The sequence below is a fragment of the Homo sapiens genome, chromosome 5 (genome assembly GCF_000001405.40).
Source record: "Homo sapiens chromosome 5, GRCh38.p14 Primary Assembly".
Lineage (NCBI taxonomy): Eukaryota > Metazoa > Chordata > Mammalia > Primates > Hominidae > Homo > Homo sapiens.
In genome coordinates, this window is record NC_000005.10 from 134,808,953 (window position 1) to 134,832,454 (window position 23,502).

Genomic DNA, 23,502 nt, shown 5'->3' on the forward strand with positions numbered 1-23,502 from the left:
TATATAATGTCATTTTATCCTTAAAACGATTTAAGTGTTTTACATATGTAATGTCATTTTATCCTTAAAACTTTCCTTTGAGGTAAATAATATTACTCTATTTTATAGATGAGAAAAATTCATGCACATAGGATTTAGCTCACCTGCTTATGCACATTTAATAAGTAGTAATGGCATTTATTCTTCTAACCTGTTGGAAGGAGTCAAGAATATTTTTTTGGAAAGGGCCATGTACTGAAAATTGTAGCCTATTTGGGCTCTGTCACATATTCTTCTCTTTCTCTCTCCTTCTCTGTATATATATGTGTTATTGTATATATGTTCATAACCCTATAAAAATGTAAATACTTGTAGCCCCGTAGGAGTACAAAAGCAGACCATGGGTCAAAGGCAGTGGCTATTTAGATATTTCTGTTTTTGTTTTTGTTTTTTTGAGATGGAGTCTCGCTCTGTTGCCCAGACTGGAGTGCAGTGGCATGATCTTGGCTCACTGCAACCTCTCCCTCCCAGGTTCAAACGATTCTCCTGCCTCAGTGTCCCAAGTAGCTGGGACTACAGGCGTGTGCCACCACGCCTGGCTAATTTTTTGTATTTTTAGTAGAGACGGGGTTTCTACTAAAACCTGTGTTAGCCAGGATGGTCTCGATCTCCTGACCTCGTGATCTGCCCGCCTTGGCCTCTCAAAATACTGGGATTACAGGCATGAGCCACTGCACCCGGCCAAGATATTTCTGAATTAAAATCTTAAACCATGTTTTAAAATTCGTAACAGTTGGCCGGGCGCGGTGGCTCACGCCTGTAATCCCAGCACTTTGGGAGGCCGAGGCGGGCGGATCACCTGAGGTTGGGAGTTCAAGACCAGCCTGACCAACATGGAGAAACCCTGTTTCTACTAAAATAAAAATAAAAAATTAGCCGGGCATGGTGGCATATGCCTGTAATCCGAGCTACTCGGGAGGCTGAGGCAGGAGAATAGCTTGAACCCGGGAGGCAGAGGTTGCGATGAACCAAGATTGTGCCATTGCACTCCAGCCTGGGCAGCAGGAGCAAAACTCTTGTCTCAGAAACAAACAAACAAAAAATCGCAACAGTTGACTGTTTGGGTCAGATTGTTTTTTTGGTTTTGTTTTTTACATTTTTGTGGAGATGTGGTCTTGCCATTTTTGCCCAGGCTGGCCTCCAACTCCTAGGCTCAAGCTATCTTTCCACCTCTGCCTCCCCAAGTGCTGGGATTACAGGTGTGAGCCATTGTACCCAGCAAGGTCAGATTGTTTTGTGAAGATAGCAAACTCTAGCGAGACTCCATCTCAAAAAAAAAAAGGAAAAACAAAAAACAAAATCAAAAGGTATGACCACACAATTGTGCATTTGTGTAAAATTACCTATGTTTCTTTTTTTTTTTTGAGACGGAGTTTCACTCTTGTCACCCAGACTGGAGTGCATTGGCGCCATCTCACATGCACTGCAACCTCCGTCTCCCAGGATCAAGTGATTCTCCTGCATCAGCCTCCCAAGTAGTTGGGATCACAGGCATGCCACCACCACACTCGGCTAATTTTTTTGTGTTTTTAGTAGAGATGGGGTTTCACCATGTTGGTCAGGCTGGTCTCGACCTTCTGACCTCAAATGATCCACCCCCCCTTGGCCTCCCAAAGTGCTGGGATTACAGGCGTGAGCCACTGCGTCCAGCCAATTGCATATATTTCTACCTCTGTGTAAAGAAATTAGAAATTTTCTAGTTTGCTTGTGTTATTTTAAAATATTAAACTTGGGCCGGGCACAGTGGCTCGTGCCTGTAATCCCAGCACTTTGGGAGGCCAAGGCGGGCGGATCACCTGAGGTCAGGAATTTGAGACCAGCCTGGCCGACATGGTGAAACCATGTCTCTAGTGAAAATACAAAAATTAGCCGGGCATAGTGGCAGGCGCCTATAATCCCAGTTACTCGGGAGGCTGAGGCAGGAGAATCACTTGAACCCGGGAGGCAGAGGTTGCAATGAGCCAAAACTGCGCCACTGCACTCCAGCCTGGGCAACAGAGTGAGACTCCATCTCAAAAAAATAAAAAACAACAAAAAATAAAAATTAAACTTGGATATTTCACTTTGAACCATTAAGTAATTTAGTAAGACTCTTTCGTGGCTTTTAAAATTCTTTAGTTAATGTTGTCAATCTCGAGGATTTATTAGGTGGATCAGATTTTATCTTATGATCTAAGTAGGATCCATCTTGTTAGTGTCTAATAATTGTACTTTTTCATCATGCATTAGGGTTATGCTTATACTTTTATCACAGAGGATCAAGCTCGCTATGCTGGTGACATAATTAAAGCTCTTGAATTGTCAGGGACTGCAGTACCTCCTGATTTAGAGAAACTGTGGAGTGATTTCAAAGATCAGCAGAAAGCTGTGAGTTTTTAACCCATGTTACTCTTCTAGAAATCATTAATGTGACTAAACCTTGATTATTTAATTCTTGGAAATCTTTTATTTAACACTTGAAAATTTTGCTACGACTATTTTTATTTCTCTCTAGAGGGAAAAATGAGTGAAAGCTAAAATCCTATCTTATTCTTGAACTTAGTATTTTGTGGTGTCTATGTAGAGCTCTTAGTTTATCTTACATGCTAGATGAAGTGTTTTTATTACATTGACATACACCACCTTGAAAAATATTTAATTAGTATGAATTCCTAAACATTAAAGTTTTTACTATGAGATTAACTTCGTTTTCTTTTTTTGAAAGGAGGGGAAAATAATTAAAAAGAGTAGTGGGTTCTCTGGTAAGGGATTCAAGTTTGATGAAACAGAACAAGCTTTGGCTAATGAGAGGAAGAAGTTACAAAAAGCAGCTCTTGGTCTACAAGATTCAGATGATGAGGATGCTGCAGTTGATGTAAGTACTATTATTCTCTCATTCTTAATTGAAGCAGTTATTTCTTTTGTACTGGAGGTCTTGCCATATATGGTTATCAAGATAGACAATCACTGGAAACCTTTACAAGAGGTTGGTTCCAGAACAGTTTTGGAAAATCTGCCTACTACATACCAGTACCCCTCCTCTCAATATATAGACCACTCATTAGCACTTCAAAGGATGTGAAAAGTCCTTTTTTTTTTTTTTTTTTTTTTGCGATGGGAGTCTGGCTGTGTCACCCAGGCTGGAGTACGGTGGCGTGGTCTCCATTCACTGTAACCTCCGCCTCCTGGGTTCAAGCAATTCTCCTGCCTTGGCCTCCTGAGTAGCTGGGATTACAGGCATCCACCACCACGCCTGGCTAATTTTTGTATTTTTAGTTGAGGCGGGGTTTAACCTTCTTGCCCAGGCTGGTCTCAGATTCCTGACCTCAAGTGATCCGCTTTCCTTGGCCTCCCAAAGTGCTGGGATTACAGGCGTGAGCCACCTCGTCTGGCCATGGATGTGAAAAGTCTTTAACGAATCTTGTTTAACTTCATTAAACCCAGAAATTCCCCAACATACCTGATCTCAGAACACTTTTGGACATATCATGTTAAACTTAAGTTCAGAAAATAATTTTGGAAATCAGAAATTCAACCTGATCTTATCATTAGGAAATTGACTCCAAGAAAAGATGTTAGGTCCAGGACCACAGTGGGAGTTAACACAGACAGGACCAGAACCCAGTTGTCCTATTAACCTTAAGCCATTTCTTTCTAGGATACCATACTAGCTCAAAAAATTAGCCGGGCGTGTCTTGCTCTGTCACCCAGGCCAGACTGCAGTGTCGTAATCTCAGCTCAACTGCAACCTCTGCCTCCTGGGTTCAAGCGATTTTCCTGTTTCAGCCTCCCTAGTAGCTGGGATTACAGGCACCCACCACCACGCCCGGCTGATTTTTGTATTTTTAGTAGAGATGGGGTTTCACCATATTGGCCAGGTTGGTCTCAAACTCCTGACCTCAGGTGATCCACCTGCCTTGGCCTCCCATAGTGTTGGGATTATAGGTGTGAGCCACTGTGCCTGGCCAATAAAGTCATTTTTTTTTTTTTGAGACGGAGTCTCGCTCTGTCACCAGGCTGGAGTGCAGTGGCTTGATCTTGGCTCACTGCAACCTCTGCCTCTCAGGTTCAAGTGGTTCTCCTGCCTCAGACTCCCAAGTAACTGGAACGACAGGCACGCGCCACCATGCTTGGCTAATTTTTTTTGTATTTTTACTAGAGACAGGGTTTCACCATGTTGGCCAGGATGATCTTGATCTCTTGACTTCGTGATCCGCCTGCCTCGGCCTCCCAAAGTGCTCAGATTACAGGCGTGAGCCACCACGCCCGACCACATTTCATTTTTTAAATTTATCTGTTACCATGTAACAAATCAAAACTTAGCAGGTTAAAGCAATAAACACTTATTATCACATAGTTCCTTATGGTCAGGAAATCAGGAGCAGTTTAGTCAGGTAGTTCTGGCTTAGGCGCTCGTGAGATTGCAGTCATCTGCAGGCTTGACTGTTGCTGGATGATCTGCTTCCAACATCAGTCACTTTGATGTAGATAGGATGCCTCAGTTCTTCACCTCTTTGCCTGTCCTTACCCACATGGCAGCTGGCTTTCCCCACAGTGAGTGATCAAAGAGAGCAAAGAGAAAGCTTTAGTGCTTTTTATGACTGTCTCTGAAATTACACACTGTCACTTCCACTTTATTCTTTATGGGGTTTTTTTTGTCTTGTTTTGTTTTGTTTTGGAAACAGAGTCTGACTCTGTTGCCCAAACTGGAGTGTAGTGGTGCGAACTCAACTCACTGCTGCCTCAGCGATCTTCCCACCTCAGCCTCTTGAGTAGCTGGTACTATGGGTGCACCACCATGCCCTGTTAATATATATTTTAAAATGTTTTTTTTTTTAGAGTCGAGGTCTCACTGTGTTGCCTAGGTTGGTCTGAAATTCCTGGGCTCAAGTGATCCTCCTGCCTCAGCCTCCCAAAGTGATGGTATTACAAACATGAGCCACCATGCCCAGCCCACTTTCTTCTATTAGAAGGAAGTCATTAAGTCCAGCCCACACTCAAGAAAAAAGACTATTAAATAATTTGTAGCCATGTTTTAAAAACATCTGTCACTTTTTGACATTATGGTAGTTTCCTCTTTTCTGTGGTTTTAGTTGCCATAGGTTAACCACAGTCTGAAACTATTACAGTATTTTGAGACCACATTCATATAACTTTTATTACAGTATATTGCTATAATTGTCCTATTTTATTGTTGTTAATCTCTTAACTGTACCTAATTTATAAATTAAACTTTATCATAGGTATGTATGTATAGGAAAAAACAGTGTATGTCGGTGCGGTACTATCTCTGTTTTTAGGCATTCACTGGGGTTCTTGGAATGTATTCCATGTGTAAAGGGAAAACTGCAGTATTTTTAACTGTTTTTTAAAATCTTGTGATAAAATACGGTGATTGTTTCTTCGGGTGTTAAAGTAATATATAATTTTATGAAAAATGTAAACAGTACTTAACACGAATAAAATCAAAAGTAAGGTTAGCTCTACCAGCTAGCATTGTATACTTCCCCCTTTCCTGATTTTATGAATTTGTTCAGATTGTAATACCATGAATGCTATTTAATTTAAAACGGTTTTACTCAGGTAAATGTTGAGTTTTAAAACTAGTTGATAACTGACCCCCTGTTGGTGTTTTCTTGGGGTTTTGTTTTGTTTTGTTTTTATGAGACAGGATCTCACTCCATCAACCAGGCTGGAGTAAAGTGGCGTGATCTTGGCTCACTGTAGCCTCGACCTCCTGGGCTCAGGTGATTCCCCACCTCAGCCTTCTGAATATCTGGGACTACAGGCATGTGCCACCATGCCTGGGTAACTTTTATATTTTTTGTAGAGACAAGGTTTCGCCATGTTGCCCAGGCTGGTCTTGAACTCCTGGGCTCAAGTAATCCTCCTGCCTTGAACTCTCAAAATGCTGGGATTATAGGCAGGAGCCACTGTGCGTGGCCATAACTAAAACCCTTTAATAGGTAATAAATGTTTTAAGAAGAATCTAAGGCTGGGTGTGGTGGCTCATGGCCTGTAATCCCAACACTTTGGAAGGCCATGGTGGGAGGATAGCTTGAGCCCAGGAGTTCAAGACCCTCCTAGACAACACAGTGAGACCCCATCTCTATAAAAAGGTTTTTAAAAATTAGCTGGACGTGCTAGTGCACGCTGTGGTCCTAGCTACTTGGGAGGCCGAGATATGAGGAACCCTTGAGCCTGGGAGTTAAAGGCGACCCTGTCTCAAAAAAATACAAAAGCTAAACGGACTGTTTTTATTGTAGTAAAAGAGCTTTGTAAATTAACCAATTAATTTTTAAGCCCTAAATAAGCTTTTCTGTGCATTTGAGATCTAGAAGATACAGCTTTATTAATCTGATCTAAATTTCTGAAGGGGGCTTGTATTTCTGTAATCAGTGATATCAGTAGTCACTGTTGGGCAAAGGGCATTTTTTAAAAGAAATGCACATAGCAGGCTGGCGGTGGTGGCTCATGCCTGTAATCCCAGTGCTTTGGGAGGCCAAGGTGGGCGGATCACGAGGTCAGGAGATGAGACCATCCTGCCTAACACGGTGAAACCCCATCTCAACTAAAAATACAAAAAATTAGCCAGGTGTGGTGGCGGGCACCTGTAGTCCCAGCTACTCAGGAGGCTGAGGCAGAAGAATGGCGTGAACCTGGGAGGCGGATCTTGCAGTGAGCTGAGATGGCGCCATTGCACTCCAGCCTGGGAGACAGAGCGAGACTCTGTCTCAAAAAAAAAAAAAAAAAAAAAAAAAAGAAATGCACCTAGCAGTAGGGCTCATGTGACTCCTGTCAAAGCAAAGCATTCATCATTGCGCTTGCCTTGATGGGGAAACAACCTGCATTTGTTTCCTTTCTTGATTCAAAGGAATAAGGGAATAAGCCTTTTCTGGTTCAGTTACCCAGTTTTTAAGGCAAATCCAATTGGATTTTATGGGTTGGGAAGAGTTTTGAGAGCTTTACCTTAGGAACATGTTATATCACTCCCCCTGAGAATTATTGACTATATTTTTAGTAGGCCACTGACCTTGAGTTATAGTCCTTCTTCCAGCCTGTTTCATTGCAGTATAATTTGGTCTCAAGGCCTGAGCCCTGGGGTAAGTCAGCTGCATCCTATTGGCTATTCTGTCTTGAAAGCACATGTTTCCTCATTTATTGAACAGGGATGAAGTTTCTGGTCCTCTCAGGAGTCTGATGACGTGGTTCATGCAATGTTGTTTCTCTGTTTTCTATTTTTCTCCCTACCATAGACAACTGATTTTTTAAATGAAATGTGACTTTTAACAAATAGGTGGTATATTTTCCCATGGATCTGTGTAGTAGGATTTGTGTAAATATAACTATCTGATTCCAGCCTTTTGGTGGAAACATTCCTTATTTATTTCTGTAGAATAACTTAATTTGGTATTTCTAATTCAGTTTTTTACTAGTCCTTTTTTTCCTTTTGATCTAGATTGATGAGCAAATTGAAAGCATGTTTAATTCAAAGAAGAGAGTAAAGGATATGGCTGCTCCTGGAACATCAAGTGTTCCTGCTCCAACTGCAGGAAATGCTGAGAAATTAGAAATTGCTAAGAGATTGGCTCTTAGAATCAATGCCCAGAAGAATTTGGGCATCGAGTCTCAGGTATTAAGTAATTTGTTCCAAGTCTCAGTCAATACTTTTAAGAAGTTCTTTGATTTTACTTTTCAGGAATTATGTTGAACACAAGTAAACAAGTTGTCCTAGACATTGAGTTTGTGAGAATTTAACATTCTCAATACAGAATTTTTTGATAATTGCATTTGGATGATTTCTCAGTGCTATTGACTGAGGACTTTGGGCCTATTCTGGAATTTCTAACTGTTAGCCACTGGTAGTTTTATAGGGTAGTATTCTGATGAGTCTTAACAAAATCTTAAAGATGTATTAATAATTCTCTTTTTCTTTCTTTATCTGCTTTTATTGGGCACACAACTCCCTGGATATACAAACACCCAGTTACATGACTCAAATCAATATGGTCTTAAACAGTGGAGAAATGTGATTTTTAAATATTTCACGTTATCTTTTTCTTGGAAGCTTACTTGTTATTTTGAAGCTTTTGAGGCAGTCATTAACTATAACGTTTGTAATGTTGGGTTGGGTCATAGAGATGAAGGAGCTCAGTGATGGTAGTAGTACAAACATTCAAATTCGGAGGAGACTCCTAGGAATTAGAGTATGCAAATGATTTTCGAAATATTTACTGTGTCTGACATCAAGAGTTAGCTAATTATCAACTACATCTCTATGATCTAGTAGAATATTTAATAGAGTTGAATGTTCTCCAGTTTTCTTATCCACTAGGAGGTACATTAAACTACATTATAAATATATATTGCTAAATCACACATATCAATGAGACTATGCATTAGAAAGGTTTATTTATTAAACTTGCATACAAAGTTAGTAGCTTTTCAGAGAATAATTTGTGGTGTGGTCCCTACTCTTGTCTCTGCCCTCATTTGAGATTTAACTAAGTCTTCTTTAACTACAGGATGTGATGCAGCAGGCCACCAATGCAATTCTTAGGGGTGGCACCATTCTGGCTCCCACTGTTTCTGCAAAAACCATTGCAGAACAACTTGCTGAAAAGATCAATGCCAAGCTCAATTATGTGCCGTTAGAGAAACAAGAAGAAGAGAGACAGGATGGTGGACAGAATGAATCTTTTAAGAGATATGAAGAAGAATTAGAGATCAATGACTTCCCACAGGCAAGTAACAGGTTTAAACCTTTTTTTATTGTGAAGTAGCAACTCTTCTTTGGAGGAAAAATCTCATCTTTAAAACCCATGAACATTTTAATAGCTCCTTCACTCTTTACCTAAATGGAGGATATAACAATAGAAATTTGATTTTTATGAGTATGTTCAAGGTACATTAGGATCTAAATGAACTTATGATGCAGGTATGTATTAATAATGATCTTTGTTTTCTTTGCTTGTTTGTTGTTTTTTTTTTTTTTTGAGACAGACTTTTGCTCTTATCGCCTAGGCTGGGGTACAATGGTGCGATCTCGACTCACCTCAACCTCCGCCTCCCGGGTTCAAGCGATTCTCCTCCCTCAGCCTCGCGAGTAGCTGGGATTACAGGCATGCGCCACCATGCCCAGCTTATTTTTGTATTTTTAGTATTTTTAGTAGAGACAGGGCTTCACCATGTTGTTCAGTCTGGTCTCGAACTCCCGACCTCAGGTCATCTGCCCGCCTCGGCCTCCCAAAGTGCTGGGATTACAGGCATGCACCACCAAGCCTGGCTAATTTTTCTATTTTTAGTAGAGACGGGGTTTCTCCATGTTGGTCAGGCTGGTCTCGAACTCCCAACCTCAGGTGATCCGCCCACCTTAGCCTCCCAAAGTGCTGGAATTACAGGTGTGAGCCATCACGCCCGGCCAATAATGATCTCAATATTGACCATAGGGCCCGGTGAGGTGGCTCACGCCTGGAATCCCAGCACTTTGGGAGACTAAGGTGGGTGAATCACCTGAGGTCGGGAGGTCGAGACCAGCCTGACCAACATGGTGAAACCCCGTCTCTACTAAAAATACAAAAATAAGCTGGGCATGGTGGCGCATGCCTGTAATCCCAGCTACTCGGGAGGCTGAGGGAGGAGAATCGCTTGAACCTGGGAGGCGGAGGTTGCGGTGAGCCAAGATTGCACCATTGTATTCCAGCCTGGGCAAAAAGAGCGAAAACTCCGTCTCAAAAGAAAAAAAAAAAAGAATATATATATATGGAGAGAGAGAGAGAGAGAGAGACCAACCATAATATGATATCAGCCAGCCTAGTCTTTGTCAGCACTCCTGGATTTTTTTGTCCTGTTATGAAGTGATTTTTCTTTTCCTTACCTTTTCTTTTAGACTGCTAGGTGGAAAGTTACCTCTAAGGAAGCTCTGCAGAGAATCAGTGAATACTCTGAAGCCGCAATTACAATCAGAGGAACCTACTTCCCTCCTGGCAAAGAACCCAAGGAAGGCGAGCGGAAGATTTACTTGGCAATTGAAAGTATGTACTGTTAGTTCTGTTTCAATCTTGAATTTAGATCAAGGTTGATGTAGATGTAATAAACGCAAAGAGCATGTGAGGTCAATTCTAGAGAGAACTGAAAGTAAGAAACACCTCTGAAAACAAAATCTTATGACATTTGAGGTCTTTATATATAAGAATTTCAGTACATATGCAAAGGTAAATGATCTGTTTCCGAGACTCAGTTTTGGCAATTTAGTCAAATTTGAAAATTAAAAGAAAACTTACATTTTAAGGACTGACCTGTTTATGCTTCTAGTAAGTGGAATATTCTGGCCTAAGTTTAGGTTGGAAAGTAAATCAAGTGTATTAGTCCACTTAATGAATGTTTATCTAGGCAAATATTGCCTGTGAAATTATCCCCATGAAAGTTTATGCCTTTAACAAAATAAGAAGTAGACAATGCCACAACCTAACGGATATAAATAATACATTATGTAACAGCAATCAGGTTTGGTTTTTAACTTTATTTCATACATTCATGAATGAATTCATTCCAGAGGCAATTTCCATCTTTATTTATTTTGAGACAGGGTCTTATTTTGTCTGGCTGGAGTGCAGTGGCGCAATATCAGCTCACTGTTGCCTCAACCTCCTGGGCTCAAGTGATCCTCCCACCTCAACACCCCCAAGTAGCTGGGACTACAGGAACATGCCACCACACCTGACTTTTTTTTTTTTGTCTTTTTGTAGAGACAAGGTTGTGTTTTGGTGCCCAGGCTGGTCTCCAACTCCTCAGCTCAAGGGACCCGCCCCCACTCAGCCTCCCAAAGTGCTAGGATTGCAGGCATGAGCCAATGTGCCCAGCCTATTTTGTTTTTTCTGATGTGTTACTCTACTGCATAGTAGGACACCCTGTCACACTTTATTTATGTTTTTGATTTTTGTTTTGTTTTGTTTTGCTTTTTTCCCCGAGATGGAGTCTTGCTCTGTTGCCCAGAGCTGGAGTGCAATAGCGCGATCTTGACTCACTGCAACCTCCACCTCCCGGGTTCAAGCAGTTCTCCTGCCTCAGCCTCCCAAGTAGCTGGGATTACAGGCATGCACCACCATGCCTGGCTCATTTTTGTATTTTTAGTAGAGACGGGGTTTCACCATGCTGGCCTGGCTGGTCTCAAACTCCTGACCTCATGGTCCACCCGCCTTGGTCTCCCAAAGTGCTGGGATTACAGGCATGAGCCACCGCGCCCAGCCCACTTTATTTATATTTAACATCTTTGTTATTGGTATTTTAAGTGGTTTTTGTTTTTGTTTTCTGACATTATGTGAAATGGAAGCAAGACAGAACTAGACTGCTAGATAATAGCACCATCTGTTCTGGCTTCATTTCCTTGACACCATAGCATTGTAGTCAGTACAGGGTTTAGCACTCTATCGCCCAGGCTGGAGTGCAATGGCACGATCTTGGCTTACTGCAACCTCCGCCTTCAGGTTTCACGCGATTCTTGTGCCTCAGCCTCCTGGGTAGCTGGGACCACAGGCATGTGCTACCATACCTGGCTAATTTTTGTATTTTTGGGTAGAGTTGGGGTTTCACCATGTTGGCCAGGCTAGACCTCTTACTTCTTGATTGTACTGTCTCCATTTGGAACTATTTTTAAAATCTGTAGCAGTCTTTTGCTATTTAGGACTTACATTGAGGTAAAATTCATGTAACAAAAGTTTGTCCATTTTAACCATTAAAAATGTACAGTTCAGTCCTCAGTACCTTCGTGAAACTTAAACAGGATTCAGTGAAAGCAGTGCTTAGAGAGAAATTTCTAGCTGTAAATGCCTGCATTATAAAAGATCTCCGTTAACTGCCTTTTTTGTGTTAGAGTAATCTTTTCTTTTCTTTTCTTTTTTTTTTTTTTTTTTTGAGACAAAGTCCCACTGTGTCATCTAGGCTGGAGTGCAGTGGCACAATCTCGACTCACTGCAACTCCCACCTCCTGGGTTCAAGTAATTCTCGTGCCTCAGCCTCCTGAGAAGCTAGGATTACAGGTGCCCCCCCGCCACACCTAGCTAATTTTCGTTTTTTTTTTTTTTGTGAGAGAGAGTCTTGCTCTGTTGCCCAGGCTAGAGTGCAGTGGCGCAATCTCGGCTCACTGCCAGCTCCGCCTCCCGGGTTCACGCCATTCTCCTGCCTCAGCCTCCCAAGCAGCTGGGACTACAGGCGCCCACCACCATGCCCGGCTAATTTTTTTTTTTGTATTTTTAGTAGAGACAGGATTTCACCATGTTAGCCAGGATGGTCTCGATCTCCTGACCTTGTGATCCGCCCGCCTCGGCCTCCCAAAGTGCTGGGATTACAGGCGTGAGCCACTGCGCCCGGCCAATTTTTGTATTTTTAGTAGGGATGAGGTTTCACCATGTTGGTCAGGCTGTTGTCAAACTCCTGACCTCAGGTGATCCACCTGCCTCTGCCTCCCAAAGTGTTGGGATTACAGGCATGAGCCACTGTGCCCCACCGTGTTAAAGCAATATTTTCTTGTGTGCCATTTTGATTTGCTCTTGTTTCTGGGTTTTTTGTTTTTTTTTTTTTTTGAGAGGGAGTCTAGCTCTGTCACCAGGCTGGAATGCAGCGGCGCAATTTCGGCTCACTGCAACGGCGCAATTTTGGCTCACTGCAACCTCTGCCTCCCAGGCTTAAGCGGTTCTATTGCCTCAGCCTCCCGAGTAGCTGGGACTACAGGCAAGCACCACCATGCCCAGCTACTTTTTGTATTTTTAGTAGACATGGGGTTTCACCATGTTGGCCAGGATGGTCTCAATCTCCTGACCTCATGATCTGCCTGCCTTGGCCTCCCAAAGTGCTGGGATTACAGGCAGGAGCCACCACGCCCGGCCTACTTCTTTCTTTTGCTATATGTATTTTTAGGTTTTTTTTTGTTTTTTTTTTTTTTGAGATGGAGTCTCACTCTGTTGCCCAGGCTGGAGTGCAATGGTGCTGTCTCGTCTCACTGCAACCTCCACCTCCCAGGTTCAAGGAGTTCTCCCTTGGCCTCCCTAGTAGCTGGGATTACAGATGCATGCCTGGCTAATTTTATTTTTAGTAGAGATGGAGTTTCACCACGTTGGCCAGGCTGTTCTTGAACTCCTGACCTCAGGTGAACTGCCTACCTCAGCCTCCCAAAGTGCAGGGATTACAGGCCTGGGCCACCGTGCCCAGCCAGGTATTTTCTTAGCGGTTACTCAGTGGATTGCAATTAATATCTTAATTCATAACAACGTAGTTCAATTAATGCCAACTTAGTTTTAATACTATACAAAAATTTTGCTCCTATACAGTCCCATCTATTTTTTTGTTGTTATTGACACAAAATTCCTGTATATGTTTTTCTAAGAGACAGGGTCTTGATCTGTCACTCAGGCTGGAGTGCAAAGGTGAGATTATAGTTTACTGTAGCTTCAAACTCCAGGGTTCAAGTGATCCTCTATCCTTAGCCTCCTGAACAGCTAGGACCACAGGCCTGTGCCACCATGCCTGGCTAATGAAAAAAATTTTTTTTTCTAGAGACAGGGTCTTGCTATGTTACAGTCTAGGCTTGTCTTGAACTCCTGGCTTCTCTTGTACTCCCACATCGGCCTCCCAAACCTACTCATCTTTTTTTGAGACAGAGTCTTGTTCTGTCACCTGTCCTGGAGTGCAATGACCCAGTCACAGCTCAAGCAAGCCTCCCACCTCAGCCCCCCATTTAGCTGGGACCACAGGTGTATGCCACTATGTCCAGCTAAATTTTTGTATTTTTTGTAGAGATGGGTTTTCACTATGTTGCCCAGACTGTTCTTGAACTCCTGGGCTCAAGTGATCCTCCTGCCTCAGCCTCCCAAAGTGATGGGATTACAAACGTGAGCCACCATGCTGGGCCCAGACCTGTACATCTTCATACATTCTGTATTCTTCAACATAGATTCATAATTATTTTATGTAATTTTTAAATCATACAGGAAATAAAGAGAAGCTACAAACTAAAAATAATACTGACTTTTATATTTACGTATGTAGCTATGAGTATTCTTTGTTTCCTCATTCAAGTAATCTAGGGTTCTTTCACTTCAGTCTGGAGGATTTCCTTTTGTATTTCTTGTAGGGCAGGTATACTAGCAACTAACTCAGGTTTTGTTTATCTGAGAATTTCTTAATTTCATCTTTTTTTTTTTTTTTTTTTTTTGACATGGAGTCTCGCTCTGTCGCCAGGCTGGAGTGCAATGGTGCAATCTTGGCTCACTAAAACCTCTGCCTCCTGGCAGCCTCCCAAGTAGCTGGGATTATAGGAACATGCCACCATACCCAGCTAATTTTTGTATTTTTAGTAGAGATGGGGTTTCACCATTGTTGGCCAGGATGGTCTCGATCTCCTGACCTCGTGATCCTCCTGCCTTGGCCTCCCAAAGTGTTGGGATTACAGGCGAGAGCCACCACGCCCGGCAAATACAGCTGTTATGTTTTCCGTGTTTTTCCCACTCTACCATTGAGTCATGGTAAGTTTCATACATATTTTTAAATGGCATACAAAGGATGTGTGGCCAGAACTAGGCAAACTACACTTTTTTCTTCATGTTTGTGACTATGAGAAACTGACTTAGATCTATTTGAAGTCAGGTTTAAAAATGGCATGCTTTTGTGTATCCTGAAATACTTTTGGTCTGCCAATGACCCAGTATGTTTCTAACTCAGGTGACACTGTTTCTTATTACATAGTGAAATGGGGATTGCTGACCCCTGGGTCTTCAAGCAGAGAAAACTTAAGCTGATGTGTTTCTGTAGTTGGAACTGGACAGGTCTTTGCTACTGTGTTAATTAGATCATACAGGCTGAAGACAATGATAGAGGAATGTGGCAATAAAACCTTTGGTGTACATGGAGTCAGGATTTTATTTTCTGCTTGAATACATGGGTATCATTTAAGCAAAATTAATATTTTAACTGCTTGCCTTATAAAGAGGTAAGTGAGAGACATGATTATTTGCTTTGAAAAAGAATTCTTTTCGTAATTCATTTATTAATTTAAATGCAGTGTTTGCTTAGTATGGTATAATTGATATATCAAATTTCAATTTATGTATAACTTTATCAGAACACATCTCTACTACCAAGTGATGTGAAGTGAGATATTCACTGATTCCACAGCTCCGATGTAGTTTTCCTTTCATCCAGAATGGTTCTGGTCATTTGTCTCCACTGTCAATTTACACTCAGGAAATAACGTCTAATTTTTATAATAATCTAAGCAAGTCTCCTCAGTAAAAAAGCAACTTTGTTGAAGCAAATCTTAAGAATAATCTAGAAATATAATGATAATGGCCGGGCGCGGTGGCTCACGCCTGTAATCCCAGCACTTTGGGAGGCCGAAGCGGGCGGATCACAAGGTCAAGAGTTTGAGACCAGCCTGGCCAACATAGTGAAACCCCGTCTCTACTAAATACAAAAATTAGCTGGGCATGGTGGCGGGAGCCTGTATCCCAGCTACTCGAGAGGCTGAGTACCTTGGAAACAGAAGGTAGAGGTTGCAGTGAGCTGAGATGGCGCCACTGCACTCCAGCCTGGGCAAAAACAGCGAAACTCTGTCTCAAAAAAAAGAAAAGAAAAGAAAAAGAAATATAATGATATTGAATAAGAGCTAGGGTTTGGTAATTTAAGTGATCTAAATCTTTTAGAATTTTCAGAGGTAATTAGATTTTTTAAAGGATCATTTAGTTTTTGAAACTCCGAACTCAACTAAACACTAACAGGATGAAAACAGGTGTTGCTACTGTGGAATGAGCCTAGTGTCATCTGTTTCTAGTTCTGTAATTGGAGGGACCCCACTGCCTGGCTGGCTCCTTGGAGGCTCTGTTTGGCTCAGCAGCTCCAGGCCTCCCACCAGGCAAAGGGAAGGAGAACAGGAAGGACTTACATGCCTAGTCAGCCTGTATAATTTATATAGCCTGTTCTGTGACCCTCTCTTTTTACTAGTGGAGAATCCCTTAAAAGCAGCCACAGTTGTTTTAGGACCAATGAAAGGAAATGCCCTTTTTTTCATAGCTGCTTATAAACATATGTAACCTATTACAAGAAGTTACATAAGTCAGAATTTAAACTGGTCCAAATTGTCGGGCTCTGATAAAAGTAGGAAAATTGATTTTCCAGTTAAATCTAGGTGAGAGTGTCATTTTCCTTCTTTTTAAAGTTGCACAAAAATATCAACAAGCTTCACACCAACTCATACCAAGCAACGTGTTTTCCTCCTAAATTTCATTTTTGTTGTAATTTTCAGTTTGACTTCGGTCTTGATTCTTCTTTTTCTCTTCCCTTCCAGCACTCACCTTCCCCACGTAGTTTTATAGTGTTGTGATTGGTGGCTAGTGGAGGTATAGGATTTAAATTAGATATGTTGCTATGACTTCATAGCCATACCCTTGGCCTTTTCCTTCCTGTTGTGCAACTGTTTCTGTCTCTCTTTCTAGCTCCGTCTCTGTCTCTCTCTGGGGACAGAAAAGTTACTCATTTCTAATATGGGGGGAAATTTTCTCGTTTATTATAAATCTTTCCCTCATTTGTGTTTTTTAAAAATACACGGAATGATAAAAATATAGCTCTCTACGTTGCAAACCCAGTCCTCCTTTTATTCTTAGACATTTCAATCTTTAGTCTTCTTTGATTCAGCTCTTTTTCTCTTCTCAGTGTGCAATATGGTGTCTATCTGTACTTACCTACTCACTGGCATTGTCCATTGGCTCCAGATTCTACCCAGCCTACCCTTGATGGCTCTCTAATCTCTGCCACTTCTAAACTTCTGGTTCATATTTCCATTGGCCTCATCTGTATTTCCAATTGGATGTCTGATGAGCACCTCAACTACAGCAATTTTAGAATTAAATTTCACCCATTATCACTGTCCAGAAAACACCTGTTTACCTCCTGGAATCAGTATATTCTTTTACTTCTGCCTTTTTTCACTTGCCAGCCAGCTCTTAATATCTTAATTTGTTTCTCTTTTTCACTGTTCATATCCCATCAGAAAAAATATCTTGTCCATTCTACCTCAAAAGTGTGCTCTTGTGATGGTATAAATACAATATTGTGAGAGCACTAAGGAAAAAAACACTTAACTGTGCCTTTCAGAGTCAGGAAAACTTCCTAAAAGTGGTATTTAAAAGTGAAGTTTGTGAACTACTTCCTTTTCATCCTGTTTTGATATCTTTACAAGTTTGTTTTTCTAGTCTGTAAGCTTTTAAAGAGCATGAATTTGTTATTTATATGTTAAATGTCTCACAGTATGTGAGAGGTGAGTGCTTAATGTTTATGAAATTGATAACTGTGAATGAATGTCTGCAGCCTACCTCATCTAGTCAGCTATCTTGCGGTGTTCTTTCATACTCCTTTTCCAACCACGCTACGCTTCTCTTATTCTTCAATAATTAAGCATGCTTGTCTTAACTCTGTACCATTACGCATGTAATTAATTTCCTTTGCAAAATACTCTTATGGTATCTTTCCTCCCTCCAATTGGCTAGTCCTCCTTTCATTTTAAAGATTTTGTTCAGACGAGACCCTTCTGAAACATTTGTAGACTTCAGTGAACATCATAAATGTCTAATAAATACTTACTAAATGAATAAACCAAGGAAGTTATATTTCCCTTTAGCCTTCTCTTACTATCTCCTGGACAAATCACTAATAGTCTTTTTATTCCACTCTTTTTAATCACCATACTAGGAACTCTTAACACATAATATGACCTCAGTGGTTACATTTGAAACTCTGAAAGTAATCAAAATAATAAGCAGCCATTATATAATGTGGGTAATGTTCCACCAGGCATTAAATGGCTATCTTGGCAGGCAGTACAGTGTTTCTGAAAGTCACCTACAGTGTTTCTTCCTGGACCTCCGTGATATGGGTAAACACAGTGTAAGTTTAGTAATTTGAATAATATGCTTTCCACTCAATCACTAGGTGCCAATGAACTGGCTGTGCAGAAAGCAAAGGCAGAAATCACCAGGCTCATAAAAGAAGAGCTGATCCGGCTGGTGAGTGAAAACCTTAAAGTTTCGTTTGTTTTGTTTTAATAAGTGTTTTATTGAAATATAAATACAGAGAAGTACTCAAATCATAAACATATAGTTTGATGAATTTTCACAAAGTAATAAGCATACCAGTGTAGTCACTACCCAGATCAAGAAATAAAAAACATTACTAATATCCCAGAAGTCTTCTCTGTGTCTATTCTTGTCACTATTCATCTCCCCCCAACAAAACCATACCTTGAATTTTTTTTCTTTTCTTTTCTTTTTTTTTTTTGGAGACTGAGTCTTGCATTGTCACCCAGGCTGGAGTGCAGTGGCACGATCTCGGCTCACTGCAACCTCCGCCTCCTGCGTTCAAGTGATTCTCCTGCCTCAGCCTCCTGAGTAGCTGGGATTACAGGCGCACACCACCGCATCTGGCTAATTTTTGTATTTTTAGTAGAGATGGTGTTTCACTGTGTTGGCAAGGCTGGTCTCGAACTCCTGACCTCATGATTCACCTGCCTTGGCCTCCCAAAGTGCTGGGATTACAGGCGTGAGCCGTGGCGCCCGGCCCTATATTGTGAATTTTAAAATCATAGATTAGTTTTTCCTGTTTTTGAACTCCACATAAGTGTAATCATGCGTTTGCACCTTTTGCATCTAGTTTCCTTCACTCAACATTTTGAGGAGATCGGTCCATGTTATTGCATGTAGCAATAATTCATTTTCATGGCCATATAATATTTATATGATTATACAACAATTAATTTATATTTATATATTGGATTTGGGGGCTATTCTTATTTTTGGTTTTTATGAACAACACTTCTGTGAACATTATTCCATGTGCGTTTGGTATATATTAGCATGATTTTTTCCTTGGGTATATACCTCGGAGTAGAATTGTTAATTATAGGCTAGGTATTGCTAAATAGTTTTCCAAAGAGGTTACATCAATTCACACTCAATCCAGAAGTGTAGAAAATTCCAGTTGTTCTACATATTTGCCAACACATGGTGTTGTCAGTGTCTTTAAACTTAAACAATGACTTAATTTGATTTTGGAAAAAGCCCTTTACAGACTGCCTTTCCCGAGGAGGTAGACATGTCCTTGTGTCTTTAGTGCCAGTTGCAGCTTATAAACACTCCCTACAGTGTGTACATTTCCTTTGAAAGGAAACGTTGTCTTTTATCTAAGTGTAATTCTGAGAGCTTTTCTAAAATTCCCCTCACAGAGCATTCCTTTTTTTGTTGGGGGGTGGGGGTGGTTAGAAGTTTAATGAAAAGTGGGTTCACAAAACAAGAGGGAAAAAGTAAAACAGCTGTTAAATCATGTGCTTAATACTATTTCACCAAGGAGTGGTCGAAAAGAATCTTGTGCCCATAGATGCTACCACCATTAGGTTGATTCAAAACATAGTTGTTAAGGAATAGTTGAGTGAACAGAGAATTCATTAGTTATTGAATAGTTTTTCCTTTCTCAATGCAGTAATAGTAACATTTAAAATTTTAAATAACCAATAGTTTTATAAGTTGGCAAAGGAAATGATCTTAAATATTTCCTTTTGGGTTTGTTTGGTTGGTTGGTTGGTTCGTTTTTTTTTTTTGTTTTTTTTGTTTTGCTTTCTCTGATGACATATCTTTTATTTCCTATTACAGCAAAATTCATACCAACCAACAAATAAAGGAAGATACAAAGTCTTATAGACATCCGGAAAAAAGATTTTTACCTGTGCTGGTCTATGATGTATGTGGCAGTTGCTGTCTGCAGTTTACAATGTATTGTAAATGAAGATTTTTTAAATTCTATCTTGCTGATTTTTTTTAAATATAAGAAACTGGTACTTGGTAAAGAAATCTGTCCGTAAGTACCCCCACAATCAGTCAAACTATATTTAAAGCCAGCCTGTTTTCAGAGTATGATGTCCTTTAATGTAAACTCAAATATCAATATTTTAAATGTCCGGATAATATTCTAGAGGTTTAAAAAATGGAAATATTTGAACTTTCTATTGAAGACAATAAAGTACACAAGTCGTTAAGGGGCTATTCACTTTATCCTGTACTTTCAATGAAATTGTGATCATTTCCTAAGAAAAGGTAAAATTCACTATCATATTTTGTGTCCCCACCTTGATGTTACATGACTCTGGAACAATATGAACTGGATTTAAGAATGTTATAATAGAAGTCTTACAAAATGGGTTGAGAGTTTTTGTTTCAATTTTTATCATCATAAATGGGCAAAAAGTAGTTGGACTAATTTCGGTTTTTATACAAGTAAAGATTTAATAGTATAAGGATTTTTTTGCATTTCTTTACACTGAGTGTAAAACTCTACAAAGAGTTATAGTATTTACTACTTTGAGGTTTCCCTCACAACTTCTGGCTCCATACCTAGCCCCTCTTTTATAATCTTCCTTAAAAGAAAGAGTGTAGCCTATAAATACTAAATATGATACCTTTTCCTTCTAGAAAGTGTTTATTTATATATCTATACATGTTGTATGTACAAATATCCTACTACTTTTAATCTGATTTTTCTTCAGGATTATTGAGTAGGTTGTGAATTTTCTTTCTTAAAAATTGTAAAACATAATGGTACCCAAGTTTTAAACTTAGATGTGCTTCATCTTAGTGAAATTTAATTCACAAGGAATCATAAATTGTGTTTTTGAGGCTGGGCGCAGTGACTCACACCTGTATCCCAGCAATTTGGGAGGCCGAGGTGGGCAGATCACTTGAGGTCAGGAGTTCAAGACTAGCCTGGTCAACATGGTGAAACCCTGTCTCTACTAAAAATACAAAAATTAGTCGGCATGGTGGTGGGTGGCTGTAATCCCAGCTACTCAGGAGGCTGAGGCAGAAGAATCTGAGCCAAGATAACACCATTGCACTCCAGCCTGGGCGACAGAGTGAGACTATCTCAAAAATAAATAAATAAATAAATAAATAGTATTTTTGAGCCTTCAAGATACAGTTCCTGAATATTCTAATTTAAATTGTTATAATTGGATTACCTAATATTCTTTTCAAGACTCCTGATGTATTAACTTCATGTTATTGTCACTTTTCAAAAAAGGAATTTTTTTCAGGAGTTAAATAAAGTCAGTCTTTTATATCCAAGGGTTTCAAACCCACAGATTAAACCAACCACAGATCAAAAATAGAAAAAAAAAAAAAAAGAAAAAAAGAATGTAAAATTTTAAAAATACAGTTTAACAGCTGTAAAAGTTTTACTATAACATTTACATTGTGTTAGGTATTTTAAGTAATTTAAAGGTTACAGTATACAGGCGGTTAAAGTATACAGGAGGATGTGCATCGGTTATATGCATATAGCAAGCCATTTCATATAAGAGGCTTGAACATCCATGGATTTTGGTATAGAGGAGGGGTTTAAGGGGTGTCCTGCAATCAGTCCCCCTCTCATACCAAAGGATGACTGTATATTTCTTAAATGAAGAGACTTTCATTCTTTAAATATTATTGACTTACAGTTTAAAAATAAATAAATAAAAGCATACTATAGTTGTAAAAACAAATAATTTTAATAGTATATTCAGTGGCTGAAGTGATAGGGAGTATTAATCATTATTTCTTCAGTATAAAGTTATTCTTCCTGAAAAAGTAAGATATACCTGGGAAATATTCTTGGATCCTTCACACATCCACTTAATTTCTTGAAGGAAGAAAACAGACAAAAGACATGTAACAACAGAAACAAATAAACCACTTACTGTAAAATTTCAGAAATTGTGGGCTCATTCCCTCCCTCTAGTTTATTTATTTGCTCATCTTTATCACCTAATGGTAGTTTGTTTTCTTTGGTAGAGTATATGGCAGTCCCACATCGATGATAATTGGTGCTCCCTTCATCCAACTGGATCACTTTGAGATTCAGTTTTACATCATTTTAGCATTTTGTTTGTATATCAGTTGTGATGAGCCACTGATAAAATTTTGTTCTAAAATGAAACATATTACTTTGTTAGTACATTTTTTAGTGTCACACTGACTTTTAAAATTTGAATGATATATAGACTTTGTTTTTTTAATGCAATATGAATATTTGCTCATGTTTTCTAAATTCCTTATAAAATAAAATTAATTCGAATTCAATCTGCACTTTCTTAAAATTATCTTTCCTCAATGCTTTTTCTTTCTTCTGTTTCTCTAATTTTGTTTATGTTGGTGAGAGAAGTATTATACTCTCTATTTTTATTTAAAAAATTCTAGCAACTTATTACCCAAAATATTTATAATTCTGTTCCAAAAATGTCTTCCTGAAGAAGGCTCTTAAGTCTTTTATGTTCATTGTATTTAGCATAAGAGAAACATAGGTGAAATAATAGGTTCATTTACCAGTTGGGGTTTTGCCACAGTGACACTCTTACAAAATGGATATGTAGGCTGGGTGCGGTGGCTCATGCCTGTAATCCCAGCACTTTGGGAGGCTGAGGCAGGCAGATCACCTGGGGTCAGGAGCTCAGGACCAGTCTGACCAACACGGAGAGACCCAGTCTCTACTAAAAATACAAAATTAGCCAGGTGTGGTGGCACATGCCTGTAATCCCAGCTACTCGGGAGGCTGAGGCAGGCGAATCGCTTGAACCCGGGAGGCAGAGGTTGCAGTGAGCCAAGATGGCGCCATTGCACTCCAGCCTGGGCAACAAGAGCGAAACTCCGTCTCAAAAAAAAAAAAAAAAAAAAAGGATATGTAGAATGAAAGAATAATAGCTAAGTTCTCCCTCACACTTTTTGGACACTTTACTGTTTGATATATTTCTTTTTTTTTTTTTTTTTTTTTGAGACAGAGTCTTGCTCTGTTGCCAGGCTGGATTTGCAGTGGCGTGATCTCAGCACACTGCAACCTCTGCCTCCCGGGTTCAAGCCATTCTCCTGCCTCAGCCTCCCAAGTAGCTGGGACTACAGGCGTGAGCCACCACACCCAGTTAATTTTTTTGTATTTTTAGTAGAGACGGGGTTTCACCATGTTGGCCAGGATGGTCTCGATTTCTTGACCTTGTGATCCACCCACCTTGGCCTCCCAAAGTGCTGGGATTACAGGCAGGAGCCACCACGCCCTGCCACTATTTGATATATTTCACGTCTCACTGGCTTTGTTGGTGTACGCAATGCACATGTGACTGCTAATCTTTTGTTTTGTTTTGTTTTTGAGACAGAGTCTTGCTCTGTTGCCCAGGCTGGAGTGCAGTGGCACAATCTCAGCTCATTGCAACCTCTGCCTCCCAGGTTCAAGCAGTTCTCCTGCCTCAGCCTCCTGAGTAGCTGGGACTACAGGCACATGCCACAACACCTGTCTAATTTTTTGTATTTTTAGTAGAGATGGGGTTTCACCATGTTAGCCAGGATGGTCTCGATCTCCTGACCTCGTTATCTGCCCACCTCGGCCTCCCAAAGCGCTGGGATTACAGGGATGAGCCCACTGCCC

The 23,502-nt window shown here is 40.2% G+C and overlaps 1 protein-coding gene across 3 annotated transcripts in view; it reads left to right on the forward strand.

Annotated features, from left to right (window-relative positions):
* The window catches only part of DDX46 (DEAD-box helicase 46), a 72,343-nt gene extending 50,174 nt beyond the window's left edge, over positions 1–22,169 (forward strand). For 2 of the 3 annotated variants that reach the window (NR_125341.2, NM_001300860.2), the window contains exons 17-23: positions 2,269–2,406; positions 2,744–2,893; positions 7,478–7,654; positions 8,544–8,762; positions 9,908–10,052; positions 17,995–18,068; positions 19,707–22,169. Coding sequence is in view for 2 of the 3 variants with exons in the window: in NM_001300860.2 (NP_001287789.1) it covers positions 2,269–2,406; positions 2,744–2,893; positions 7,478–7,654; positions 8,544–8,762; positions 9,908–10,052; positions 17,995–18,068; positions 19,707–19,754 (951 nt within the window). In the remaining variant the exon portion in view is untranslated. The remainder of the gene's footprint in view (positions 1–2,268; positions 2,407–2,743; positions 2,894–7,477; positions 7,655–8,543; positions 8,763–9,907; positions 10,053–17,994; positions 18,069–19,706) is intronic. The other variant, NM_014829.4, reaches the window with a different exon arrangement.
* The last annotated feature ends 1,333 nt before the right edge of the window (positions 22,170–23,502 follow it).